The sequence below is a fragment of the Homo sapiens genome, chromosome 19 (genome assembly GCF_000001405.40).
Source record: "Homo sapiens chromosome 19, GRCh38.p14 Primary Assembly".
Classification (NCBI taxonomy): Eukaryota; Metazoa; Chordata; class Mammalia; order Primates; family Hominidae; genus Homo; species Homo sapiens.
In genome coordinates this window covers 52,335,022-52,347,491 of record NC_000019.10, presented here as the reverse complement: position 1 = coordinate 52,347,491, position 12,470 = coordinate 52,335,022, and the positions used below count along the sequence as shown (strand labels likewise).

General features: G+C 48.5%; 1 protein-coding gene across 8 annotated transcripts in view, besides 1 other annotated feature; it reads right to left on the bottom strand.

The window, feature by feature from the left end:
- The window catches only part of ZNF610 (zinc finger protein 610), a 37,558-nt gene that overhangs the window by 20,287 nt on the left and 4,801 nt on the right, over window positions 1-12,470 (bottom strand). For 3 of the 8 annotated variants that reach the window (NM_001161425.2, NM_001161427.2, NM_001161426.2), the window contains exon 1: window positions 10,986-11,249. The exons of 1 other annotated variant lie outside the window; for it this stretch is intronic. The gene's annotated coding sequence lies outside the window, so the exon portion shown is untranslated. Of the gene's footprint in view, window positions 1-236; window positions 535-1,945; window positions 2,064-10,985; window positions 11,250-12,052; window positions 12,078-12,470 lie in introns of those variants that run through there. 4 more of the 8 variants (XM_047438287.1, NM_173530.3, XM_047438285.1 and 1 more) reach the window with 4 other exon arrangements.
- Window positions 8,965-9,465: an enhancer, noted in NCBI's record as "H3K4me1 hESC enhancer chr19:52841280-52841780 (GRCh37/hg19 assembly coordinates)". NCBI's record gives its function as "activates a minimal SCP1, AML or CMV promoter by ChIP-STARR-seq in primed H9 embryonic stem cells {active_cell/tissue: H9 hESC(primed)}" and the evidence as "EXISTENCE:reporter gene assay evidence [ECO:0000049][PMID:30033119]".

Here is a 12,470-nt window from a genome sequence, read left to right as displayed (position 1 = left end):
TAAAAAATATTTTTTTCTCAATAACAAATTAACCTTAGCTTACTATAACTTTTTGACTTTATAAACTTCTAAATTAAACTTTTTGACTTCTACAATAACATTTAGCTTAAAACACACGTTATATAGCTGTACAAAAATATTTTGTCTTCATGTCTTTATTCTATAAGCTTTTTCCCATTTAAAATCTTTTTCCCCATTAAAACTTTTTTGTCAACAACCAGGACACAAACACATACATTAGCCTAGGCCTACACAGGGTGGGGACCATCAATGTCACTGTCTTCCAGTGCCACATCTTGTCCCACTGGAAGGTCCTCAGGAGCAATAACATGTATGGAGCTGTCATCTGGGATAACAATGACTTCTTCTGGATACCTCTTGAAGAACTTGCCCGAGGCTCTTCTAGGAGAGAAGGCACTCCTTTCAGAAATATGTCTGTGGTGTGAATCTGAAAGTTAGCTGAGGGCCTGGTGCAGTAGCTCACACCAGTAATCCCAGCACTTTGGGAGGCCGCGGCAGGCAGATCTTGAGGTCAAGAGATCAAGACCATCCTGGCCAACATGGTGAAACCCCATCTCCACTAAAAATACAAAAATTAGCTCGGAGTGGTGGCACAGGCTTGTAGTCCCAGCTACTCAGGAGGCCGAGGCAGGAGAATTGCTTGAACCCTGGAGGTGGAGGTTCCAGTGAGCCGAGACCGCACCACTGTACTCCAGCCTGGTGACAGAGCGAGACTCGGTCTCAAAAAATAAAAAAATAAATCAGCTGATTAGGAAAACGAGAGAGGAAGAAAAATATCTATGGTGGTTTACTTGCTTATTTTTTCTTCCTAAATGTTCTTGTGAGCAGGTAATGCACCATAAACTTTCCTTTCTATTAATAAACACCTTTTGGGGTTGGGTGTGGTGGCTCACGCCTGTAACCCCAGAACTTTGGGAGGCTGAGGCAGGCTGATCACACCAGGCCAAGAGTTCGAGACTAACCTGGCCAAAATGGTAAAACCCTGCCTCTAGTAAAAATACAAACGTTAGTCTGGGCCCCATGCTCACGCCTGTAATCCTAACACATTGGGAGGCCGAGGCGGGCAGATCACGAGGTCAGGAGTTCGACACCAGACTGACCAACATGGTGAAACCCCGTCTCTACTAAAAATACAAAAATTAGCTGGGCATGGTGGCGCATGCCTGTAATCCCAGCTACTCAGGAGGCTGAAGCAGGAGAATCGCTGGAACCCGGAAGGCAGACGTTGCAGTGAGCTGAGCCTGGGCAACAGAGAGAGACTCTATCTCAAAAAAAACCAAAAACAAAAAAAACAAAATACAAACTTTAGCCGGGTGTAGTGGCAGGCACCTGTAATCCCAGCTACTCAGGAGGCTGAGGCAGGAGAATCGCTTGAACCCAGAAAGCGGAGGTTGCAGTGAGCCAAGATCACACTACTACATTCCAGCCTGGGTGACAGAGTGAGACTCTGTCTCAAAAAATAAAATAAGCTGGCCGCAGTGGCTCACGCCTGTAATCCCAGCACTTTGGGAGGTCAAGGCGGGTGGATCACGAGGTCAGGAGATCGAGACCATCCTGGCTAACATGGTGAAACCCCGTCTCTACTAAAAATACAAAAAATTAGCTGGGCGTGGTGGTGAGCGCCTGTAGTCCCAGCTACTCGGGAGGCTGAGGTGGGAGAATGGTGTGAACCCGGGAGACGGAGCTTGCAGTGAGTCGAGATCACCCCACTGCACTCCAGCCTGGGCGACAGAGCGAGACTCCATCTCCAAAAAAAAATAAAAATAAAAATAAAATAAATAAATAAACACCTATTGGTGTTGGAGTTCATGTTTTCAAACTTTTTAAGAAGCTTGTTGAGGTCTGTACAAGTTTCTGCTAAACCCTTCACTGTGAAAGTTCCTGGATTTTTTTTTTCTTTTCCTTCACTTTCCTATCTTCTCACCTCTTCTTCAGCTATGTGTTCTCATATCAGTTCCAACCACTTATTCGTCCATTCCTCATGAACCACCTCTAGGAGCATCACAGTGTCATCCTCACCCACACCCAGGTTAAAGCTGCCTGGCAACGATCTAGGTTCGTTTCCCCCAGCATCACCACAGACACAAGGAATGCACTGCACTATGACGTCATGACTACTCTGATGTAGCTAGGCAACAGGAACTTCTCATCTCCAGTGTAACAGTGTAATCTTACGGAACCACCATCATAGATCTGATTGTTGACCAAAATGTCATTATGCAGTGTATGGCTGTACTATGCAACTTTACATAAGGGACTTGAAGATCACCTGATTTTGGTATCCTCAGGGGTCGTGGAAGTAATCCCTCCAATACTGAGGGATGACTGTACTGCCTAGATATACCAGAAAAGGAGATGATTCGAGTCCTGGGCAAAATAGCATGGGACTGGCCGGGTACAGTGGCTCACACCTGTAATCCTAGCACTTTGGGAGGCCAAGGTAGGTGGATTGCCTGAGCTCAGGAGTTCAAGACCAGCCTGGGCTACATGGTGAAACTGTCTCTACTAAAAATACAAAAAATTAGTGGGGTGTGGTGGTATATGCCTGTAATCCCAGCTACTTGGGAGGCTGAGGCATGAGAATCACTTGAACCTGGGAGGCAGAGGTTGCAGTGAGCCGATATTGCACCACTGCGTTCCAGCCTGGGCAATGGAGACTCCTCAAAAACAAAAGAGAGTGGGACAGTGCTAGATTTCAGCACACTACTCGGAATGGCAAGAAATTTAAAAGTTGTACATTCTTCATTTTTGGAACTTTCTGTGTAATATTTTCAGACCACGGTTAAACTCGAGGATCTGGAACCACAGAAATCAAACCAGCAGATAGGGAGCAACTACTGTAGCATCAGCTTTAAATATTAGGCCTGGCCTCCACCTGAGTATTGAAATCAGAATCTCTGTAAGGAGGCACAAGAGATGTTTCTGCAAAATGCCTCAGCTCTCAAATGTGAGACTAGGGCTGAGCTCCACTCAGAGGGGTTGAGCCAGCACAGTCCCCACCTTCTGGCTCGTCTCTCCCCTTGGGTCCTTGCTGTCACCAGGATCCAGACAGTGGCAGGAAAAGGGAAAGAAAGAAACACACACAGCTTCAAAATGGAGGAGAGTTGGGGTGGGGTCAGGCTGGAGTGTTAAATCGGGGGCTATGGGGGGGTCACAGAATCCTAAGAAGGTACTACCAGAACAAAGGCCTGGGGAAGGAAGGGTGTTTGTCACCTGCAGCTGAGGGGCCAGAGAGTTCCAGGCAGAGGAACAGCCCAGATGAAGTCTCTGAGGCAGGAGAAACCTGGGCCCCCTGTTATGTAGGTTTCAAATGATTCCACTTACATAGTTTGCTACATGAATGACTTGTGTGCTGTGATAAGAACTTGGAGTGTGTTCCTCCTTCCTTCACGAGTGATGCATCACCCCTTAGCAGCCCCCATAAATAGGAAATGGAGTAAACTTCCCTCCCACCCCAGAGAATGTGGTTGGATTCCCAGCTCCCCTGGAGAATGTTATATGGCACCTTCTCAGACCCCATATATGAGATTCTGACCTCGACTACTGGAATTCAAAATACACAGAAATTCAAGAGGTTGACAGGCACTGTGAGACCAGAGGCTGCGACACACTCTGCTGTCAGGGGCCTCTCTGAAGACCTGCAGCCTACACTGAGACGTGGCTGTATGCCAGCTGTTCTCCAATGATCACACCGTTAGCCTTCAAGGTGACCTCCGAAGCCTCGACCAACACCAGCACTGCCCTCTAGCGGGAATGTATGGACATGACCTGTTCTTGCGGGTCTCCACTGGGCTGGATGCCATTTCTCCCAAGAAACTGCTTGTATCAAGGTACAACTCAAACATTAACTGTACTTTCCATACAGGCCTATTTCCATCCTAACTGAGCAAATACATTTTTTTTTTTGAGACAGTCTCACTCTGTCACCCAAGCTGAAGTGCAATAGCATGATATCGGCTCGCTGCAACCTCTGCCTCAGGTCCAAGCAATTCTCCTGCCTCAGCCTCCTGGAGTAGCTGGGATTACAGGCGCCTGCCACCAAAGCCGGATAATTTTGTGTGTGGGTTTGTGAGACAGGGTCTCATTCTGTTGCACAGGCTGGAGTGCAGGGCGTGATCTTTGGCTAACTGCAACCTCTGCCCCCTGGGTTCAAGCGATTCTCCTGCCTTAGCCCAAGTAGCTGGGATTACAGGCATGTAAGTAAACATGTGATTTATTGTTTGTATTATAAATGAAAACACAAATAAGAAAATATCTCCTACATTTTAAATACATTTGACAGGTTTACTTAATTCCCAGAAAGTACAGGGTGTCCCTCATCTGATATGTGCAGGACTGCTGGGGATACGTGTTTGGGGAGTTCAGGGTCTCTTTTGGACATATGAAGGTGGAGATGCCTGTGGATGCCCCAGCAGAGATGTCCAGAACACGAGTGGACACAGGATTCTGGAATTCAGGAGAGAGGGGTGGGTGGAGAGGGAAAATGGAGACAGGCAGGTGGTGTTTGAAGCTGTAAGACGAGATCATAAGGAAAGGTAGAGGGTGTGGGCAGAGAGAACAGGTTTAAGGACTAAATTGTGGGACACTCCCATATTCACAGAAGACAGTTCAGGAGACATGAAGGTGATGACAAAAATGTTAAACAGGGCCAGGCGCGGTGGCTCACGCCTGTAATCTCAGCACTTTGGGAGGCCAAGGTGGATGGATCACGAGGTCAGGAGTTCAAGACCAGCCTGACCAACACAGTGAAACCCCATCTCTACTAAAAATACAAAAATTAGCCAGGTGTGGTGGTACGGACCTGTAGTCCCAGCTCGGGACTACTCAGGAGGCTGAGGTGGGAGAATCACTTGAACCCGGGAGGCAGAGGTTCCAATGAGCCGAGATTGCGCCACTACACTCCAGCCCGGGTGACAGAGTAAGACTCCGTCTCAAAAAAAAAAAAAAAAAGTTAAACAGATTTTTTAAATTATGAAGAATCTCTTCAAAGCCAAGAAAAAAGAAGAGGGAGTGATCGGCTGTGCAAATTGCTGCTGACAGGGAAAGAAAGATGAGGACAAAAATTTAAAAACTATTAAGCCTGGTGCAGGGGCTCATCCTTGTAATTCCAGAGATTTGGGAGCACAGAAGAGGGGTACTTCCTAGAGGAAGAAATGTAGTTAATATAATATTTTTTGTTTTAAAGATAGAAGAGTAGAAGGAAAATAAAACCTTTATTTTATGTAGGAATGTGTTTTAATGAATGATGCCTCCATCTGGATACATTTTGGGAGGCTGACGTGGGAAAATCACTTCAGCTCAGGAGTTTAAGACCAGTCTGGACAACACAGCAAGACCCCAACTCTACAAAAATCAAAATATTAGCATGGCACAGTGGCACAAACCTGTAGTCCTGGCTACTCGGGTGGCTGAGATGGGAGAATCGCTTGAGGCCAGGAAATTGAGACCAGCCTAGGCAACATAGCAAGACCCCAACTCTATAAAAAACCAAAATATTAGTGGCATACTGGCATGGGCCTGTAGTCCCAGCTATTCAGGAGGCTGAGGTGGGAGAATTGTTTGAGCCCAGGACGTCGAGGTTGCAGTGAGCTGTGATTATGCCACTGCACTCCAGCCTGGGAGACTGGGAGCAAGACCCTGTCTCAAAAATAAATAAATAAGTAAATAAATAAAAATATTAGCCAGGCATAGTGGTGCATGCCTGTAGTCCTACCTACTTGGGAGACTGAGGCAGGAGGATCATTTGAGCCTAGGAGTTCGAGGTTACAGTGAGCTATGATTGCCTCACTGCACTCCAGCCTGTGCAATAGAGTGAGGCCCCGTCCCTTAAAAAAATAAATAATTAATTAAAAATAAATTTAGGGGCCACGCACGGTGGCTCATGCCTATAAACCCAGCACTTTGGGAGGCCGAGGCGGGCAGATTACAAGGTCAAGAGATCGAGACAATCTTGGCCAACATGGTGAAACCCCGTCTCTACTAAAAATACAAAAATTAGCCACGCATGGTGGCGTGTGCTTGTAATCCCAGCTACTCAGGAGGCTGAGGCAGAAGAATCGCTTGAATCCGGGAGGCAGAGGTTGCAGTGAGCCGAGATCGTGCCACTGCACTCCAGCCTGATGACAAAGCGAGACTCTGTCTCAAAAAAAATAAAAATAAAAAATAAAACTTTTTAAAAATAAAAATAAATTTAGAAACAGGTCGCAGGAGCAATGGAATGGGTGGATGCGATAACTTGATTGGATGGAGTCAACCAAGAACTAGGGGCAAGAATTGAAGAGAGAATATAAACAAGATTTTAGTGTACTGTGATCTTAAATAGAGCATGCAAGAGGGGTACTTACTGCAGGGAGAAATGTAGTAAATACAGTATTTTTTGTTTTAAAGATTGAAAAATGGAACGAAAAGGCTTTAGTGAGTGAGTATGTGAGTGTGTGTGTTTCAGTGGACAACACCTCCATTTCAGTATGCTGACCAAAATAATTCCCTAGGCCAGGAGCAGTGGCTCCCGCCTGTAATCCCAGCATTTTGGGAGGCCAAGGCGGGCAGATCACCTGAGGTCAGGAGTCCGAGACCAGCCTGGCCAACATGGTGAAACCCCGTCTCTACTAAAAATACACAAATTAGCCAGGCGTGGTGGCGTGTGCCTGTAGTCCCAGCTACTTGAGAGGCTGAGGCAGGAGAATCGCTTGAACCCGGGAGGCAGGGGTTGTAGTGAGTGGAGATTGCGCCATTACATTCCAGCCTGGGTGACACAGTGAGACTCCGTCTCAAATAATAATAATAATAATAATAATAATTTCCTAGACAAAAAAATTAACGACACCATAGAGGAGGGATGTCATTCCACTCTGAGACTGTAAGTGGGGCTGGCACATGGTGTACAGTCTCAGGATCAGCAGCAGCCAGGAGCAGGGACAGATCATTCCATCACTATTGAGTAGACATCACAGGCCCTGAGACTGGTGGGCCAAGTCTCTTCCCTTTACTGTTTGAGGTAAGGAAAAAAGATAACTGTTTTTACTACACTCAAATTCAGCACAGAATACTATGCCGCCCATCACCAAAATGTGTGTTTTCCCCCATGTTTGAGACGGAGTTTCACTGTCGCCCAGGCTGGAGTGCAGTGGCGCGGTCTTAGCTCACCACAACCTCTGCCTCCAGGGTTCAAGCAATTCCCTGCCTCAGCCTCCTGAGTAGCTGGGATTACAGGCACAAGCCACTACGCCCAGCTAATTTTTTATTTTTCACCACGTTGGCCAGGCTAGTCTCGAACTCCTGACCTCAAGTGATCTGCCTGAGTCAGCCTCCCAAAGTGTTAGGATTACAGGCTTAAGCCAACGCGTCTGGCCCGTGCTGACCAGTTCTGTGGCACGCTCGCAGCTGTGTGTCCCACAGGTTAACTCAACTTTGCTACTGTCTACTTGGAGATAGGCACAGATTCCACGGGTTAAAGGTGCAGTCCCACAAGGCTGCCCCTCAGTTTAGATGCAGATAAAAAGCATGGTTTCCAGCCAGGATCGGTGGCTCACGCCTGTAATCCCAGCACTTTGGGAGGCCAAGGCGGGTGGATCACCTGAGGTCGGGAGTTCAAGACCAGCCTGACCAACATGGAGAAACCCCATCTCTATTAAAAATACAAGAGTAGCCAGGCATGGTGACGGGCACCTGTAATCCCAGCTACTGGAGAGGCTGAGGCAAGAGAATCACTTGAACCCAGGAGGCAATGGTTGTGGTGTGTGGGGATAAGAAAGAGAAATCAGACTGTTACTGTGTCTATGTAGAAAGAAGTAGACATAAGAGACTCCATTTTGTTCTGTACTAAGAGAAATTCTTCTGCCTTGAGATGCTGTGAATCTGTAACCCTAGCCCCAACCCTGTGCCCGCAGAAACACGTGCTGTGTTGACTCAAGGTTTAATGGATTTAGGGCTGTGCAGGATGTGCTTTGTTAAAAAGCGCTTGCAGGCAGTATGCTTGGTAAAAGTCATCGCCATTCTCCAGTCTCGAGTACCCAGGGACACAATACACTGTGGAAGGCCGCAGGGAACTCTGCCTAGGAAAACCAGGTATTGTCCAAGGTTTCTCCCCATGTGATAGCCTGAGATATGGCCTCATGGGAAGGGAAAGACCTGACCATCCCCCAGCCTGGAACCCATAAAGGGTCTGTGCTGAGGATTAGTGAAAGAGGAAGGCCTCTTTGCAGTTAAGATAAGAGGAAGGCATCTGTCTCCTGCTTGTCCTTGGGCAATAGAATGTCTAGGTGTAAAACCTGATTGTATGTTCTATTTACTGAGATAGGAGAAAACCGCCTTAGGGCTGGAGGTGAGACATGCTGGCAGCAATACTGCTCTTTACTGCACCAAGATGTTTGTATACATGCACATCAAGGCACAGCACGTTTCCTTATTTATGACAGAGATCTTGGTTCGTATGTTTTCCTGCTGACCCTCTCCCCACTATTACCTTTGTCCTGCCACATCCCCCTCTCCGAGATGGTAGAGATAGTGATCAATAAATACTGAGGGAACTCAGAGACCGGGCCGGCGCGGGTCCTCCGTATGCTGAGCGCCGGTCCCCTGGGCCCACTTTTCTTTCTCTGTACTTTGCTCTGTGTCTCTTTCTTTTTCTGAGTGTTTCATTCCACCTGACGAGAAACACCCACAGGTGTGGAGGGGCAGGCCACCCCTTCAGTGGTGAGCCAATATCGCGCCAGTGCACACCAGCCAGGGCAACAAGACCGAAACTCCGTCTCAAAGAAAAAAAAACATGTTTACTAAGAGCCCCTCCTTTTTTTTTGAGACAGAGTCTCACTGTTGCCCAGGCTGCAGTGGTGCGATCTTGGCCCACTGCAACCTCCACCTCTTGGGATCAAGAGATTCTTGTGTCTCAGCCAAGCAGCTGGGATTACAGGCACACGCCACCATGCGCAGCTAATTTTTGTATTTTCAGTAGAGATGGGGTTTCACCTTGTTGGCCACGCTGGTCTTGAACTCCTGACCTTAAGTGGATCTGCCCACCTTGGCTTCCCAAAGTGCTGGGATTAGAAGCAAGAGCCACTGCGCCTGGTCCAAAAGCCCCTCATTTTGATTAGTTTGCTAGGAAGGCTCTTCCATCTGGCTGTTCATCTGTATCCTTTGTAATATGGTTTGTAACAAATGGGTGAAACTAAGCAAAAAGTTTCCCTGAGTTCTGTGAACCACTCTAGCAAATTCACAAAATGTGAGGAAAGGGTCATGGGAACCCCCGGTTCATAGTTGGTTGGTCACAAGGTTCAAGTCCCAACCCAGGACTTGCAAGTGGCACCTGAAGTGGGAGCATGCCTGTGGAACTGAGCTCTCAACCTGTAGAATCTGAGGCTAACTCCACATAGATAGTGTTAGTGTGAAATTGAGTTAAATTACACAACACCCAGGTGGTGTCTGATGAACTGCTTGTGGGTGGGAAGTAATCCCCAACACATTTTGGTGACCAGAGATGTGGCATTCTGTGTTGGGTGTTCACTATTGTGTTGATTGTAAGCGTAGGAAAAACGCTTTGGTTTTTCCTCCTGTCTTACCCACTCACCCACACCCGAATGAGGCAAGTCACTGCCCTCTGGCTGAACAGGGATTGTGAATGGAAGCTAACTTGTGATGTCAAGAATTATAAAATGCACTTCCCTTATAGGCAGGAACTTTGCAAGTCTCATCTTCATCTGTACTTTTGAAATAAATTTTGTGCTTATTAGATTACAATTAGAGAAATCAGTATATCACAATTTGATCATAATAGTCCATCAACTCATCGCTCATCTGCACTCAGGTTCCCCCTCTTTTGTCATTAGTATGTTTCCCTCCCTCATTCTGTACAGCTCTCTCATTCTTACCTTCTTTCTCCTGCTTTTTTTCACTTCATTTTTCCCATAAGAATTGGCTTATTTTTCTGCCCCTCTCCTCTCCTGCTGTTTCTCCCCCTCTTCCCTCTATTCCTTCTCTTCCATTTGTTCTGCTCCATTCTGGCAATTTGTTTTACCCCTTGTTCCTCTTTGTGTCCAATTTTTGATTGTCCCCAATTTCCATTCTGCCTGTTTCTTGCCCTCCCTATCTCTGCTTCCTCTCTGTTCTCCCTGTTAAATTTCCTCTTCCCTGCTACACTCTCTTGTCCCCACTCTCTGGCCCCCCCGGATCCCAGGCCTCCCCATGCTGTGGTTCTCCCTCTGCTCTCCTTGTCATCAGCTGCCCCCTCTTGCTGTCCCAGCACCATGCTGCTCTGTCTGCCCTGGCTCCAAATCCCTCCTCCTCTCCCCTACTCTGTCTGAGGAGCCTCCCCCTTTCTGCCCCTCTCCCAATCTTGCTTCATCTTCATCTCTCTGGAGACCCAGCTTTTCTCTACATTTCTCCAGTTACTTTTCTCCCCCTGCTACATTCTCGGCTTCATTCACTGTCTCTGTAAATCTCTCAGCTACTCTCTGCCGTCTGCTTATGGATCTCCCTCATGCTTCTTTTTCAAAATTTTTCTATTTCCTGCCACTCTTTCACCATCTTTCCCCACACATCCATAGGCAGGGGAGTACAATAAGGTGCCCACCTCCGCCAAGAGCACATTTTTAGTGGGATGGAATTTGGGACGAAGAATCCTGAATGTCCTAAGACAGAAGAAGTCACGTCCCCACACCCGGGGGTCGGGAGTAGCGATGGCTGCGAAGGGGAGGCCTGGGGAGTAGGAAGGCCCGGATCAAGGAGGAAAAGGGTGGGGCTGAATTATTAGAAGTGTGGGGTCTCAAGGGTCCCAGGACCCAGTACAGGACGCGGCCTCCCCCGCCGGGACTGGGGCTGCGGCGCTGCGCTTCAGGGGCCGGGGGCGAGGTTGGGAGGCTCCCCGGGCGGGAATCCACCTTGCGGTAAGGACTTTTAAAAGCGCGGGGCAGGACGTTGGGTCAGTAAAGAGTTTTAAGCGGAAAGGAGTCTCGAAAATCCGTGTTTACCTGGCCCAAGGCAGAACGAGCGGGGACAGGACCCGTCGCCGAGCGATTTTAACACACAGGGAAGCGAGCGCCGGACTCTCACGGAGACGCCTGAATTTACACGGGGTGGAGGGAGCGGTGCGGGGATTTCAAGGTCTGTGTTGACTCTCAGATCCCGGGTACAGAAGCGCGGGGGAGCTGGGAAGCCCAGATTGAATCTAAACAAAGGGAAACTGACGCGCTGCGGTGTGACCTTCTACCCACGCGATCCGCTTCCGGGTCTGCAAAAAACTGCGCGCGCGCAGCATAGAGAGCGGACCGGGACGGGACGGGGCGGGGCTTCCCTAGGCCACGCCTCCAGTGCCTCTGTTTTCCGGGTTTTGCTGGCAGTGAGGCTGGAGCAGCTCAGCCCTCTGCAAACTGGGATCCTGCCGGAGCAAAGCAACGTCAGTTGAGGATTAGATCCAGGAAATTTCCTGCTATTAAAATCAATTTTAAGCCGGCCGTGGTGGCAGGCACCTGTAGTCCCAGCGACTAGAGAGGCTGAGGCTGGAGGATCGCTTCAGCCCAGGAGTTCGAGTCTACACTGAGCTATCATGGCCACTGCACTCCAGCCTGGGCGTAGTGTAGACCCAGTGCTATACTCAGTGTAGACTCTGTCCTAAAATAAATAAGTAAATAAAAACTAATTTTAACAATTTAATTTAAAAGGCCTGGAATTCTGTGTGAAGGCGATGCAAGTTAAAATGTGAAATGCAAAGCCCTGCCTGGGTAGCATGTGCAATTTCATGCTGACGGCCCACAGAACATAATAGAAATCTTCTCCCTTTCCATCATCATCTCTGATCTCCAGCACGGGAGAAAGATGTAGGCTGGGAGGTTAAGCCCGTCTAGTGTTTTCACGTTCTTCTGCCTGCTTTTATTCTGACTGTGCTGGCAGCTGATTAGATTGTGCCCACCCAAATTGAGGTGGGTCTGCCTTTCCCAGTCCACTGAGTCATCTCTAGAGTGCTCATCTCTAGAGAGTTTCCGAGGGACAACGCCAAGCGCGTTGGAGGGTTAAGGCCAACCTGGGAATCCGTATTTACCTGGCCCAAGGCAGAACGAACGGGGCATCTCCGTGAGAGTCTGGCGGTCGCTTCCCTGTGTGTTAAAAACGCTACAGGCACATGCCACCATACCCATCGTTCGGCGATGGGTCCTGTCCCCGGAGGGATGTTAGGCCACCACCAACTGCTTTTTTTTCTTGAGACGGAGTCTCGCTCTGTCACCCAGGCTCACTGCAAGCTCCGCCTCCTGGGTTCACGCCATTCTCCTGCCTCAGCCTCCTGAGTAGCTGGGACCACAGGCACCCACCACCACGCCCGCCTAATTTTTTGTATTTTTAGTAGAGATGGGGTTTCACCGTGTTAGCCAGGATGGTCTCGATCTCCTGACCTCGTGATCCACACCCCCCCCCCACGCCCCGGCCCCCAAAGTGCTGGGATTACAGGGGTGAGCCACTGC